The sequence below is a fragment of the Homo sapiens genome, chromosome 8 (genome assembly GCF_000001405.40).
Source record: "Homo sapiens chromosome 8, GRCh38.p14 Primary Assembly".
Classification (NCBI taxonomy): domain Eukaryota; kingdom Metazoa; phylum Chordata; class Mammalia; order Primates; family Hominidae; genus Homo; species Homo sapiens.
Window position 1 is genome coordinate 118,287,527 of NC_000008.11, and position 12,991 is coordinate 118,300,517.

At 37.6% G+C, this 12,991-nt stretch overlaps 1 protein-coding gene and 1 long non-coding RNA gene across 13 annotated transcripts in view; one reads left to right on the plus strand and one right to left on the minus strand.

Moving 5' to 3' along the window:
• Nucleotides 1–12,991, minus strand: part of SAMD12 (sterile alpha motif domain containing 12) — a 490,139-nt gene that overhangs the window by 155,702 nt on the left and 321,446 nt on the right. The window lies entirely within an intron of this gene.
• The window catches only part of LOC105375724 (uncharacterized), a 141,651-nt gene that overhangs the window by 6,144 nt on the left and 122,516 nt on the right, over nucleotides 1–12,991 (plus strand). For 2 of the 6 annotated variants that reach the window (XR_001746056.2, XR_001746063.3), the window contains 3 exons: nucleotides 713–799; nucleotides 3,687–3,820; nucleotides 8,149–8,266. This is a non-coding gene — a long non-coding RNA (uncharacterized LOC105375724). The remainder of the gene's footprint in view (nucleotides 1–712; nucleotides 800–3,686; nucleotides 3,821–8,148; nucleotides 8,267–12,991) is intronic. The other 4 variants (XR_007061073.1, XR_007061072.1, XR_001746057.2 and 1 more) reach the window with 3 other exon arrangements.

Sequence of the window (12,991 nt, forward strand, 5' to 3'; positions counted from 1 at the left end):
GATAGTGCCGGGACTTAGAGAGAAATTCTGAACATGGTATTCATCATCTCTGCCTCCTGACAGAAGCACGTGGTGCCCGGTTTTTACTCACCTGTATAACTCATGATACCAATTTGTAATTAAGAGGAAAGAAAGAAAGGACTAGGGGGAAAGGGACATTTAGGAGGCTCATCTCGAGGGTTTTCCTTGTTATTTCATGGTTTGGTTTTCTGTGATTGTTGTTCACTTCATTTGTTTTCCTTGTTGCCCCAGGGAGATATTGGCAAAGTGTGGACCATCATGAATTTATGAGTGCATAGGCTCTTGAGAGCCTGCTGGTTCATGGAAAAGCCCCTAATAAATATGTGGCCTAAACAGTCATACTTTCTACCCATGCTTAACCTGATGGCTGCCCCTAAGGATAGGAAAATGACATGGAAAGCTTCTGCTTTTCTGGATTGTTTAATTTAAATCCCGTGTTCTGATACAAACTTGCCATTGGAAAAAAGAACCTTGGTACAAGGTGTCATGGACTGACTGTCCTGAAGACCAAGCGTGGGCCTATGAGCAGTAAATTTTTATATCATAAAAATTACAATGGTGGTGAAAAGAAGTGACGATAATACTAGCTATTAACTATGATGATGGACTCCATGCTAAAGATTTTGTAGATATTATCTTTAATTCTCAAAACAATACTGCAATATACTTATTTATTATCCCCATTTTACAGGTGCCAAGACTGAGGCTCAGAGAAATGAAATAACATGCCAAAGGTCACAGTGTCTAGTGGAGCTGGGGCCAAATTCAGGTTCGCGTGGTAATAAAGCTTTTTTTATGCCATCACCCTGCATAACTGTCTGTTATGATCTTTGAAAAGTCAGATTTTTTCAAAATCACAAAAATTCTAATTTTGATTGCCTTACACACTCTTCCTCATCATTGTATTTTTCTATTGGAATTAAAGTTTGCAACCTTTGGAGACTAGAAATCTAAGGCAGCAATTTCAGATGTTTTGAAGACCCTCATAAACTACAATTAGTCCACAATAACTAGCAAGAAACAAACACTTCTAAAAAAAGCATCTAGTCATTTAAAATGATTTTTAATTTCATGACTAGTATATAATTATACAAGAACAGAGCTATTTAGTTAGAAAAAATAACTTTGAAGATGAGAGTCCATTTAGTATTTATTTGCTCCAAGGTTCTAATTACTTCAAAAACTACTGAAACTTCATATACGATTACTAACAGCATTCAATAGCAGCTTTGATGGAAGTTGAACCAATCTTTTAAAAATTTTTTAGCCTCATTAACATGAGAGAAATAAAAAATAATAAATACCAGGGGCACATATATATGATGTCATTATTACTTTCCCACTTTGTTGCCAGTTCAGGTCTCCCATGCTAGAAAAATGAAAAATAAAACCTAACATGTCTTCCTGGTCATTTTGGAATTGAGGCCAACAAAATAAGACCAGTGAAGAACAATAAACACAGTATTGTTTTTCTGTAATATATTAGCAAATCCTGGTAGCTTCAATTTTGTTTCATTACATTTCCAATATGTGCATCCATCAATTCATCTTCTTTTCTTCCCATAGTTAAGATTTATGCACTTTATTAATCACCTCAAGACAGTCATCTCAGCAGTTTCATTTGGTGGAGTAAACCAGTCAAACCCCATCAGACTTCTGGGGATGTCACACAGCAAACTTTGGATTCCTGGCAACTTGAATCACCCTTGCCAATATGAGATTTTTCAGAGCAATCCATCTTAGGGCCAACTAATATATCACATCTGCCTCTGCTCTTTTCCTAATTAATAGGTTCAAAGAGAGACACCTGCTAGATCACACAAATGTCCCCCTGAAGCAGCCTCAGCATATAGGTTCCTTGGCAGCAGCAGATCAAAATGGCAGGCAGTTAAATGTTCTATTTTCCAAATGCAAGTTGAATGATATGAAGGGTCTAGGTGGCATTCAGCAAACCCACATTCTCCAAAGGGCTTTTAAAAACAAAGGTAACACATTCTTCACATTCACTGCATGCTCAGGTGGTTTAAAAATATGATGTTGCCATGTGTGATGGACCAATCATTTGTGCTGGCTTCTAGCTTACAGCAGTGCTAACCAGAATCAGGGCTGCTGACACTCTACTTAAGTTGTTGCCACCTGTTCTAATTCTTGGTAACTGTATTTTTTGTTATCATTTTTTTGATGCCAACTGCATTCTCCCTAAAGTTCTGAAAGGACATAGTTCTAAAGTTAGTGTGCTCTTAATTAATTTAAAAATATGCTTTATTAAGTCCCCAACTGTGCATTTGAGTTACCTGCCAGCTTCTTTTGAGATACAGAGAGTAAAGACTTGGGTTCCAAATGTAACTAGATCAGAAAGATCTAACTACATTTCCAAATCAGAAAGAAGCAAATTTACAAAATTATTCATTCAAGAGAGATATCTTCTGAGCCTTTTTAGGTCTTGTCTGTTTCTATGATCAAACAGAAGGGTTTGGGTGTGCACTTTTCACACTAAAAGACTCAAATAAGGAAGATTCAATGACTTGTAAGCTTGCAAAGGATCAGCTAAGTAAAAATTATAACCTTATATAACAGCACTGCACATAAGACCAAAAATAAAAAATGCCCTATTTGATATTAAGAAAATGTAATGAAAAATCCAGAGAGGAAAATGGGTTACCACAGTGCTATTTCTATGGTCTTTCAAATGCAGTCACACTTCCAAAATCTTGCAATTAATGGCATTAAAAACTCTCCAGCCTCACAAGTTTATTAAGTAGCAGTGTAGTTAAACAAAAAGGGTGCTAGACTAGACATTGAGAGATCTATACTCTAGCCTTGACTGTGCCTTAAACTGTAGTGTGTTGGTCTTGAACCATGGAACCCACCATACAGTAAGTGGGCTGGAATAAACAATGGCTACCCACTGGTTGCCCTCAAAGGTAGCAGTGGGTCTCCTCGCACTATTTTTCCTTCTTAGAAAAAGCCAAGAAATCATATTAACCCATAATATGATTCACAAATTAGTCAAAACATCACATTTATTTGCTTTTTGCTTAAATTACATTAACTGAAAGAGTTAACACTAGTTATTTCATGCTAATCCATTGCTCCCATTCAGGGATCATGTTTCTACTTAGTGATAAATCAAGTTAATTACTACTTAAGTTCAAATTGTAAAGGGGATCTTGCAAAAAGTAAAACTCATAGGGAAACTAAGTTCTGAGTGGGAACTTGGTGGTGACCAGTTAGGAAAGGGTTTTACTAAAATCCCTTCCAGTTCAGGATTTCTATGACTGCAAATATATAAATATGAAAAATAATTAGTCTTTTTCCAGTGTCTTTTGAATTTCAGTGTAGAACTGTTTTATTTACTAAATGCATGCCTTTACAACTCTTACAGAGAGAACATATACTTGCAGAGAGAGCATTCTAGCCAAACTCACCATTTCCTTGGCTGGCCTGCTCCTCGCTTCACTGGCCTAATTATTCTCATAAGCAGCTTAACTGAAATGTTGGCTTACAAATTTATATTTCAATTTAATTGTGCCCAGTTCCTAGTACAATGAAAATGTTAAAAGTCTTTTCCTATTTTGACAGTGTTTCACTGTGTTTATTTTTAGGGACACTAACAAATAAACTTCATGTTATCTTTATACATACACCTTTTCTTTTTTCTTTAGATTAATAACACACAGGAAAAACCCTCAACTTCTTTCATTCGCCTGTTGAGATAAAGGGAAAGAGAGTCCCCATCCAGGCCTGCAGGAGAGGGAGAACTGGTGGATGCAAATGAAAAAGCAGAGGCATTCCTCAGGTCAGTCCTATGGCCCAGGCTGCCTGGGTGCTCCCATTCTATTCTTTTCCATCATTTAGTAAACAATGTTCTCAAAGGGGGAAAAAACAGGAAGTGGAAAAAAGAATGACATGGAAAGTCAGTAATCATTGTCCTTGGGGAATGGAACACAGAATTCCCCTTATGGTCTAATTATTCTTTCATATCTTTACTGAGCCCAAATCAGGCGAGTTTCCAGGGTCTGGCTGATGTTTCAGGGGCCTGGTTTCTGCCAGTCCTCAGCTCTGAAGGGAAATATTTACTAACTTCCTGAAGCTTCCCTATTATCATCTATTATTATTTAGTTCGCAGAAAAATCTCTGTCATTTTTCTAACACAGAAGAGAAAAGCTAGAGGAACATGAAAGACCCATGTAAACTGTCATGTGTTTTCTCGGTTGAAGCCACAAGCTGCTTCCTGTTGCCCTGATACCTCCTCCCAAAGTTACTTCCATAGAGTGACTTCCATAGAGTGACTTTGGAAGGAGGTATCAGGGCAACAAGAAGCAGCTGACTCATTGCCAACACCCTGTTAGGCACTCAGCAATGGATCCTAAGCATGCTCCTGTTTCACCTGGTGAAAGCAAATAGTATGTTTCTTTTCTTATCTGTGCTTCTGCTTGTGAGTATATAAAAGAGGAAAAGTGCTACAAGGCGATGCTTTAGAAATTGAATTCTATTGCCCATTATAAATGGCTGCATGCTAGAATCAGGGGATCTTGGTAAGCCTACTAAAATGCATTCTGTGATACAATGGACTTTGGGAACTTGCAGGAAAGGGCAGGAGGGGGTAGGGGGCGAGGGATAAAAGACTGCAAATACGGTGCTGTGTAAACTGCTTGGGTGATGGGTGCACCAAAATCTCACAAATCACCACTAAAGAACTCACTCTTATAACCAAACACCACCTGTACCCCAATAACCTATGAAAAAATAAACAATATAATAATAATAATAAAGTAATGTCCAAAACTGCAAACACACAGACACACACACACACACACACACACACATATTCCGGAGACCTTGGATCAAAGGCAGTGTTCACAGATTCATAGAAAAAACAACAATATAATAATAGCTACCTCTATTTAGTTCTACTTCTTGGCTAGTCTAGACTTTATTTAGTCTTCATTCCATTATCTGAGGACTAGAAATACCATTTGACCCAACCATCCCATTACTGGGTATATACCCAAATGACTATAAATCATGCTGCTATAAAGACACATGCACACGTATGTTTATTGCAGCATTATTCACAATAGCAAAGACTTGGAACCAACCCAAATGTCCAACAATGATAGACTGGATTAAGAAAATGTGGCACATATACACCACGGAATACTATGCAGCCATAAAAAATGATGAGTTCATGTCCTTGGTAGGGACATGGATGAAATTGGAAATCATCATTCTCAGTAAACTATCGCAAGAACAAAAAACCAAACACCACATATTCTCACTCATAGGTGGGAACTGAACAATGAGATCACATGGACACAGGAAGGGGAATATCACACTCTGGGGACTGTGGTGGGGTGGGGGGAGGGGGGAGGGATAGCACTGGGAGATATACCTAATGCCAGATGACGAGTTAGTGGGTGCAGCGCACCAGCATGGCACATGTATACATATGTAACTAACCTGCACAATGTGCACATGTACCCTAAAACTTAAAGTATAATAATAAAAAAACAAACAAACAAAAAAAATCAATAACAAACCTTGCAAATTGGGCATTTTTTTTTTCTTATGCTGTGTTTGAAGCTCAGAAACATTAAGCAACATCTCTAAGACCACATAAGTGCTAATGGCAGAAACCAGCTGAATGTTTTCCAGATACATTAAGGATTACCCAGACCTAGTCCCCTAAGTTTATACAAGAGATGCTGAAATTTACAACAGGGAGATTTAGACAAGATAAAATAGTGAGTGTAAAGTGTTCAGCTGTGGATTTTTAATACAACCAACTCTGATGATTCATGATGACTGAAGGGAAAGTTACTTTGATGGTTACCTTCTTGAGGGCCAGAAAAATGTCTTTTTTTGCCCACATTAGTGGTGACACAGGCTAGGCATTTAACCAATATTTGCTAATGAAAAGACAATATATAACATTGAAAACAGAAACATACAGAAGTCAATTTATATTTGGTTTAAAAATACATGGTTTTCCTCAGCAATTTATGTTCTTAGGAAATTATATCTTCTTTAGGATTACCATAGCCAGTTTGCCTTTATTTACTTATTTTTTAAAAATTTTAACACTGTGGTGAAAATTGGAACCAGATGTATGTTGCTAGAAGCCAGCTGAAGATGCAAAATGCCAATACCCCCAATGTACAGGCAGGTCATAGTTCTCAAAGTGATATCCCCTACTCTCGGGGCTCAAAGCTCACTTCTTCAAGGAATCCCAACTCCTTTCATAACCAGTCTGTTGGCAAAACCTGATTCCCATTGATGGATAAGATGTGGCAGGAAGAGATGAAGGGGTTGGAATGCCAGTGGGAAAAATGTGGTACCCCTTACCAGTCATCAGACAGAAGCCAGCTCTAGCGAACCATTCTCACACTGGATCTCTAAGGCACTCAAGGCATATCTCAAAGCTAATAATACACTGAAATCAAAGTAACATTTAGCAAAACTGACTTAGCTTAGCAGAACTGGCTCCAAGTTTGGGGTATCCTTGCTCCCCAGTGTGATGGCAGCCTGCTGTCATGTCAGACACCTACCTGTCAGGTTAGGTGGGGAAAACACTTACTTAGCAATGAGGCATGAGCTGACATTCAGGGACAAGAGCAGAGAGTCTGCCATGCAGCACTGGAGAGAAAAGCCCTTCCTTCCACACTGACAGCCAGGAATGCCATTTTCTTGCTCAATGAGTGCAAATCTTTTCACTTCTACCCAAAAGCACTGGAGCCTGACTGTACATCCTGACTTTCCCCTGAGCTGAGCAGGCTGAAAAGACTGGCATGGGTTTAAAAAACATGATCAATTTAGGCATGCGGCGTCATCAGCAAATGGAACATAAAGTTAATTGTTTCACCAGAGGAAGAAGAGCTTCAGCAGCTTTCTTCACCAGTCGGGTTGGGAGTGCTTCACGTGCCCTGAAGCTCCTCAATCACCAATAGTTTTATGTCAGGGGGTCCATTTCCAAAAGGTATTTTTCAGTGTGACATTAATAATTTATGAATAGGCCAGCACACAAAACTGTATTTGTAAGAGGGACTGAGTGGTGGGATAAACAGGAACTTAACTTCTTAGTAAAAGCAGAAGGATGAAAACATAAAAAGTAAAATATTTTTTAAAATTCTTGCAATATGCAGAGTATAAATATTATCTCACATCTACTGTCAATAATCAGAAAATAAAAAAGAATCATGTAGGGTCATGCAACGAAAAGTGATACTTCGTACATCCTTTCTCCTGTTATGTGCTCTCTGAGCATCTGCTTGGATCTGGGTACATTAATCTGATTAACGGGAATTTTTACAAGTGATTAGGCTCATCTAGTTAAGGAAGACTGGGATGTATTTTACTCTGTGTGTACTGTCAACAGAATTGTCAACAAAGTTTAGAAAGCAGGAACTGTATTATATAATTATGGAGAAGGAAATGGGGAGGATCCCGCTTTAGTTCACAGTGCTGGCAGTTAGAAAGAAGAAAACAAACTTCTTTTTTTTTTACGTGAAAATTGGGAAAACAGGACATACAAGTCATCTAGATACAAAGGGAATGGAACTTGTCAATTTTTGGCATACAATTCACTTAGAATTCTCCATCACAACATGAACTAAAAAGAACTGATTTCTTCTAATCAGCTGAATTACAAGGTCAGAACTCTAAATTATTGCTTTGTTGTTTGAGCTGCAAATTATTGGTGAAAGGCTATTTTTATGCATTTATTTAATCTCTGTATATACTTTTCTCATTGCTATCAAAAAATGCTGTGATGCAAATATTTATTGCAATCCAATATGTATAGATAACATTTTTTATCATTCTAAAGCTTAGAGATGCTTTGAACCTCTGAACTAACCAATATTCTGCCAATATGAAGATAAGATCATGTCCAAACTGCACATTCAAATCTGAAACATCAGTGGATAATAATGATGTGTAATTCTACATATGAAAGTATCAGATGCTGGAAACTCAATTTAGTTTTGTAAATCCACAGCAATTTTTATTAAATAAAAGCCTAGGTGAGAAAAATAAGTTATATCCTAGCACACAGAAGACTGCTTAATAAGTGCAATGATAACCCCAGCTGTCACTGATTTTTTTTTTTTTTTTTTTTTGAGACAGGGTCTTGCTCTGCCACCCAGCCTGGAGTGCAGTGGTGCAATCGTGGCTTACTGCAGTCCCAACCTCCTGGGCTCAAGCAATCCTCCCATCTCAACCTTCCCAGTAGCTGGGACTACAGGTGTGTTACCCAATCATGTTAATTTTTTCTTTTGTAGAGATGAAGTTTCACAATATAGACCAGGCTGATTTTGAACTCCTGGCCTCAAGTGTGCATCTCATCTTGGCCTCCCAAAGCGCTGGGATTACAGGCTGACCCACTGCAACTGGTCAATTGAGCATTTTCTAAGCAGTTCACACTGGGATGGGAAGTAAGGCAATTCAGTAAAATATAGGATCCAGATCTTGCTTTTATGAAGTCAAAATATAGGTAATAGAAAAAACAGTAAAATGACCGTAACTGAGCATTTCCTGTGGATATGCATTTAGCAAGGAACTACATATGTAGGTTTGACATTCACAATAAACCTACCAGAAAAGCATAACCATGCCCACATCACTGGTAAGAAGACTGAAGGCCAGTGGGACCATCACAAAACAAAAAGCTACAAGAACCTTCTCTCCAGCTATCTCACTGCTCTCCAAACCCTCTCTGTGATGCCCTACACTTGTTTGTTCTTGATTTCTTCAATGCACAATGCTTTCAGTTTTTGCTTGAACTTGTGTTCAAAATGTTCCCTCTGCCTCTAGCTGCAGCTCAAATATCCCCTCCTCAGAAAAGGAAGCCTTTCTTGATCATTCATGCCAGGTTGGCCTCTTCTCTTATGTGCTTAGCACTTAAGAAAATCTGTAATTCCCTATTTATTTCCAGGAATATTTGATTAATATCTTTTTCTCCCACTGGATTGTAAATTCCCCGAAGGCACAGCCTGCATGTGTTACACTCTTCACATATCTCCAGCACTTGGTGAAGTGCAAGGCACATAGTAGGTACCCAGTCAACATTGGTGGAAAGAATGACATAGCAGCTATTTGCTGACACAGCCGAGATTGGAATAGAAACATGCCTTTCTACCATGCCAATTTATCTTTATTGTGTATTCATCACCTATTATCAAAATGCATTTGCCATCTTGTGTTATCCTACAAAATAAGGCAAACTAAGCTCTGGTCTTGATGCCTAATTATTAAGTGTTGGTTCATTCACTCACTCATTCATTCATTTGTTCATCATGTATTCAACAAACATCTGTTGACCACCTACTCTGTGCTAGGCACTGTTCTAAGTGCCTAGGATACAACAGTGTACAAAACAGATACAAGTCCTTAGAATGAATGACATTCTGGTCTAAAACATGCTAGTTGACAATCTTGATCCGATTTCTAAGTGTCTGATGTATATGGCTGCATATTTAAGGTTGCATGGCATATTGATGTGCAGACTGATAGACAACTATTAATTAATATAGATATATTAACTATGAGGCCTGTCTATGAAATGATGAGGTAAGTGTAGAGATAAGCCCTCCATATGGATGTATTCAAATGACTGGTGCTTTTCAGGAGCCAGGCATTTATTTCATCCATGTTCACCATGGCTCACCATGTAACTAGAACATCTTTTTGACAGTTGATTTCATGACTGGTTTATGTGCCACAGAAGAAAACTGAGGTTATCACTATGCAGTTGCTCTGCATTTTTGTCCCCAACTTGATGATATAACTGATCCTAAGACTATCCAAAAGAATGTCACTAAAGCCCTGATGGTCACTCAAAAAGAAGAGTTACCCAAATGTTTAAGGGAAGGTCACGTCACTAGAATAGAGACACCACCTTCCGAAGGGACTAATTTCACAGGAGCAGCATACATTGGATAAACATACTTTGGTATGTCCATTTAAAAAGCATATATATATGCCAGCAAATAAGATGTAAAAACAATTCGACATTATTAGTAAAATGAATGCCAATTAAAATTGTATTCTCAATTAGAAGAGATTAAAAAAATTTTTTTGGTAGAGGCTGTCACAGGAACGGCAGTGTTACACACTCCTGAGGGAAGAGATTTGTAAATTATTATAAATTTTCAGAAGGGCAGTTTGTTCACATGGTTATAGAATATGGATTCTCTAAAATGTTCACATACTTTTTTTTACATATGTAATTATGCCTTGGGAAAACAATCACATAATTTTGACAAATAATTTTTGAAAAAAATAATTTTTTAAATAATGTAATGTTTATTTTTATCATAATACAGAAACAGAACAAGTCAAATGCAGTGCTAATAATAGAAAACAGCATTATGCATTGTAGAAGCAGAAAAAATGAATGTGGGAAAGCCTAAATGCAGTGGAAAGCAGTGAGATGAAGCTGGAGAGAAGGTTCTTTCAGCTCCCTGCTTTGCGATGCTCCCATTGGCCCTCAGCCTTCTTACCCGACAGGTGGGGTGTGGTCACACCTACCTGGTATTTATTGTGAATGTCAAACATACATATGTAGTTCCTTGCTGAATGCACGGCTCATAGGAAATGGGCAAATCGTTCATTTGTTATTAGACATCTTTAAACCTTTTAACCTTTAAGAAATACAAGTACATAAAATTGATTCCATAAATGAATGCTCAAAAATGCACTTCTTATAAACAACTTTATGCATTGTGTTTATTTCAAAATGGGTAAGATGTGTTTACCCTTGCATGTTATATAAATTGTAGGTTGAATTTCCAGTAGAATAAGTGCATACATGCTCAGAGGCATATACAATGTTATGAACATGCACTACCTATCAGTAATCTGTAATATTTAAGAATTTTTTTTAAAAAGATGTGAAAGAGACTGGCTAGATAATCCCAGTTGATTCTGATCCCCGATTTCTGCCTATCCTAGTGAACTGCCACCCAGACATAACCATTACTAATTATTTTAGCTACTTCTTGCAGCATTTACACTTTTTAAATACAGTTTGTTGTTTATACAATTTTGAATTGTTTACACACTTTTACCAAGGGATTCACCTGCTAAGAATCTACCTAAAAATATGAGGTACATGCACAAAGATTTAGGCATAGAGATGTTCATCCCATTGTTATTTATAGTAACAAAAATTGCAAGCAACACTTGCTTGAATTGTTTCAATAAATGAAGCATAAATGTACAATAGAGTAAGCAGGTAAATATTAATATATTTAAAAGACATAGCAATAAATAACTATAAATTGATATGTAATAGAATATTGAGATGATATTTGAACAGTAGTTGGTATTTTGAAGCATTTTGTTGGTGTATTCTTTTTAACACTGAAATTATCTTTTACATGTTTGCTTATAAACAGAATAATAAGCACTGTTTTGTCTATTTTTATATAATCTTTGGGCTTTGGTTTCATATAAGGTAGTGTGGAGCAGTAAAGGGGTTAAAGGAGGTACATGTTCTTATATCTGGGAAAAGTCATTGCCTTTTGTCCACTTCTGTGTGTGGGAGACATCAAAAGGGGTGATGATAATGCATTTGCATAACAGAAGGAAGTTTGACTAGCGACTCCTTTAATCATAGGGTATGATACATGGGAAGGTCTAGAGGGAACTGATATATAAATAAGGTACCAGAGCCTGGGAGCTCAGAGTCCCCAAGTAGGCTAGTGGTCACATTTAGTAAGGTTGGTGGAGGCAGCGAAGAGGAGCATGAACATTTAGGCAGGGTTCAGAGAAAGCAGGCAGGTAAGAGATTCAGCAAAAGTAGTACTCGCTATAGGGTTAAGGAACAGGGATTATCTGGCAGGCTCTCTGCTCTCAACAACATATGACTGTGATGAAAGACGTGGGTCTCTACACGTCCAGTGGTTTTACTTTGAAGATGCCTAAGGGAGAATTCTGTCCCAATCAAGATAGGGTCAGAAACTCTGGGATGATCTTATTGGCAGAACAAGGTAAGGGGGGAATAGAGGGAAGCAAGGCAGAGCTGTCCAGTAATGAATGGGTTTTGAGTGAGAGGAAAAGTACCTTGGTCTTATCCAACATGGAGAAAAGATGTGAGTAGAACCAGTTTGAGAAAATAATATAGGAATCTAAGGAGCAGGCAGTTGGAAAAGTTCAGATGAAAGATGACCCAAAAATATACTAAGATGGATTTAGGAGATCTTAGCAAGAATTGGCAAAAATCTCTTCATGGCCTACAGACATATGGCTGTAGGCTGAGTCCACCTAAACCAACTTAGTTTTTTGTTGTTGTTGTTGTAGGGTAGTGAATGGTAGATTGATTCATTCTCGTCTCAAATTTACATCATAAAAGTTTCCTCAAAGCTGGGCATGGTTCATCTCATGATGACATGAAAATCATGGGTATTGGGATAAGTCTGTCAATGCTGCCCCTAAACCTCAGTTCCTTGTTGTACAAAGGCTTATTCCTTTTTTTTCTTTACTTTTTTTTAATTGACATATAATAACTGTACATATTTATGGGGTACACAGTGATGATGCAATACATATATAGTGATCAGATCTGGGTAATTAGCATATCCATCACCTCAATCATTCATAATTTCTTTGTGTTAGGAACATTCAATATCCTCCTTGTAGCTATTTGAAACTATATACTATTGTTAACTACAGTCATCCCACAGTGCTATAGAACACTAGAACTTATTCATCCTATCTAGCCGTAATTTTGTATCCTTTAACAAATCTCTCCCTATTCCTCCCTTCTTTTACCATTCCTAGTTTCTCCTATTCTCTGTTCTATTTTTTGTTTCTGTGAAATCCACTTAAGACATCTTTAGACACCTTCCATCTTGACAAGTTGCCATCTTCAATACATGGCCTTCAGAGGTGCCCAGGAAAGGGGCAACAGAGAGTGAAGGACCATGCAGGGAATTTTATGGTCAGGTTGAGAAGTGGTAAAGGCTGG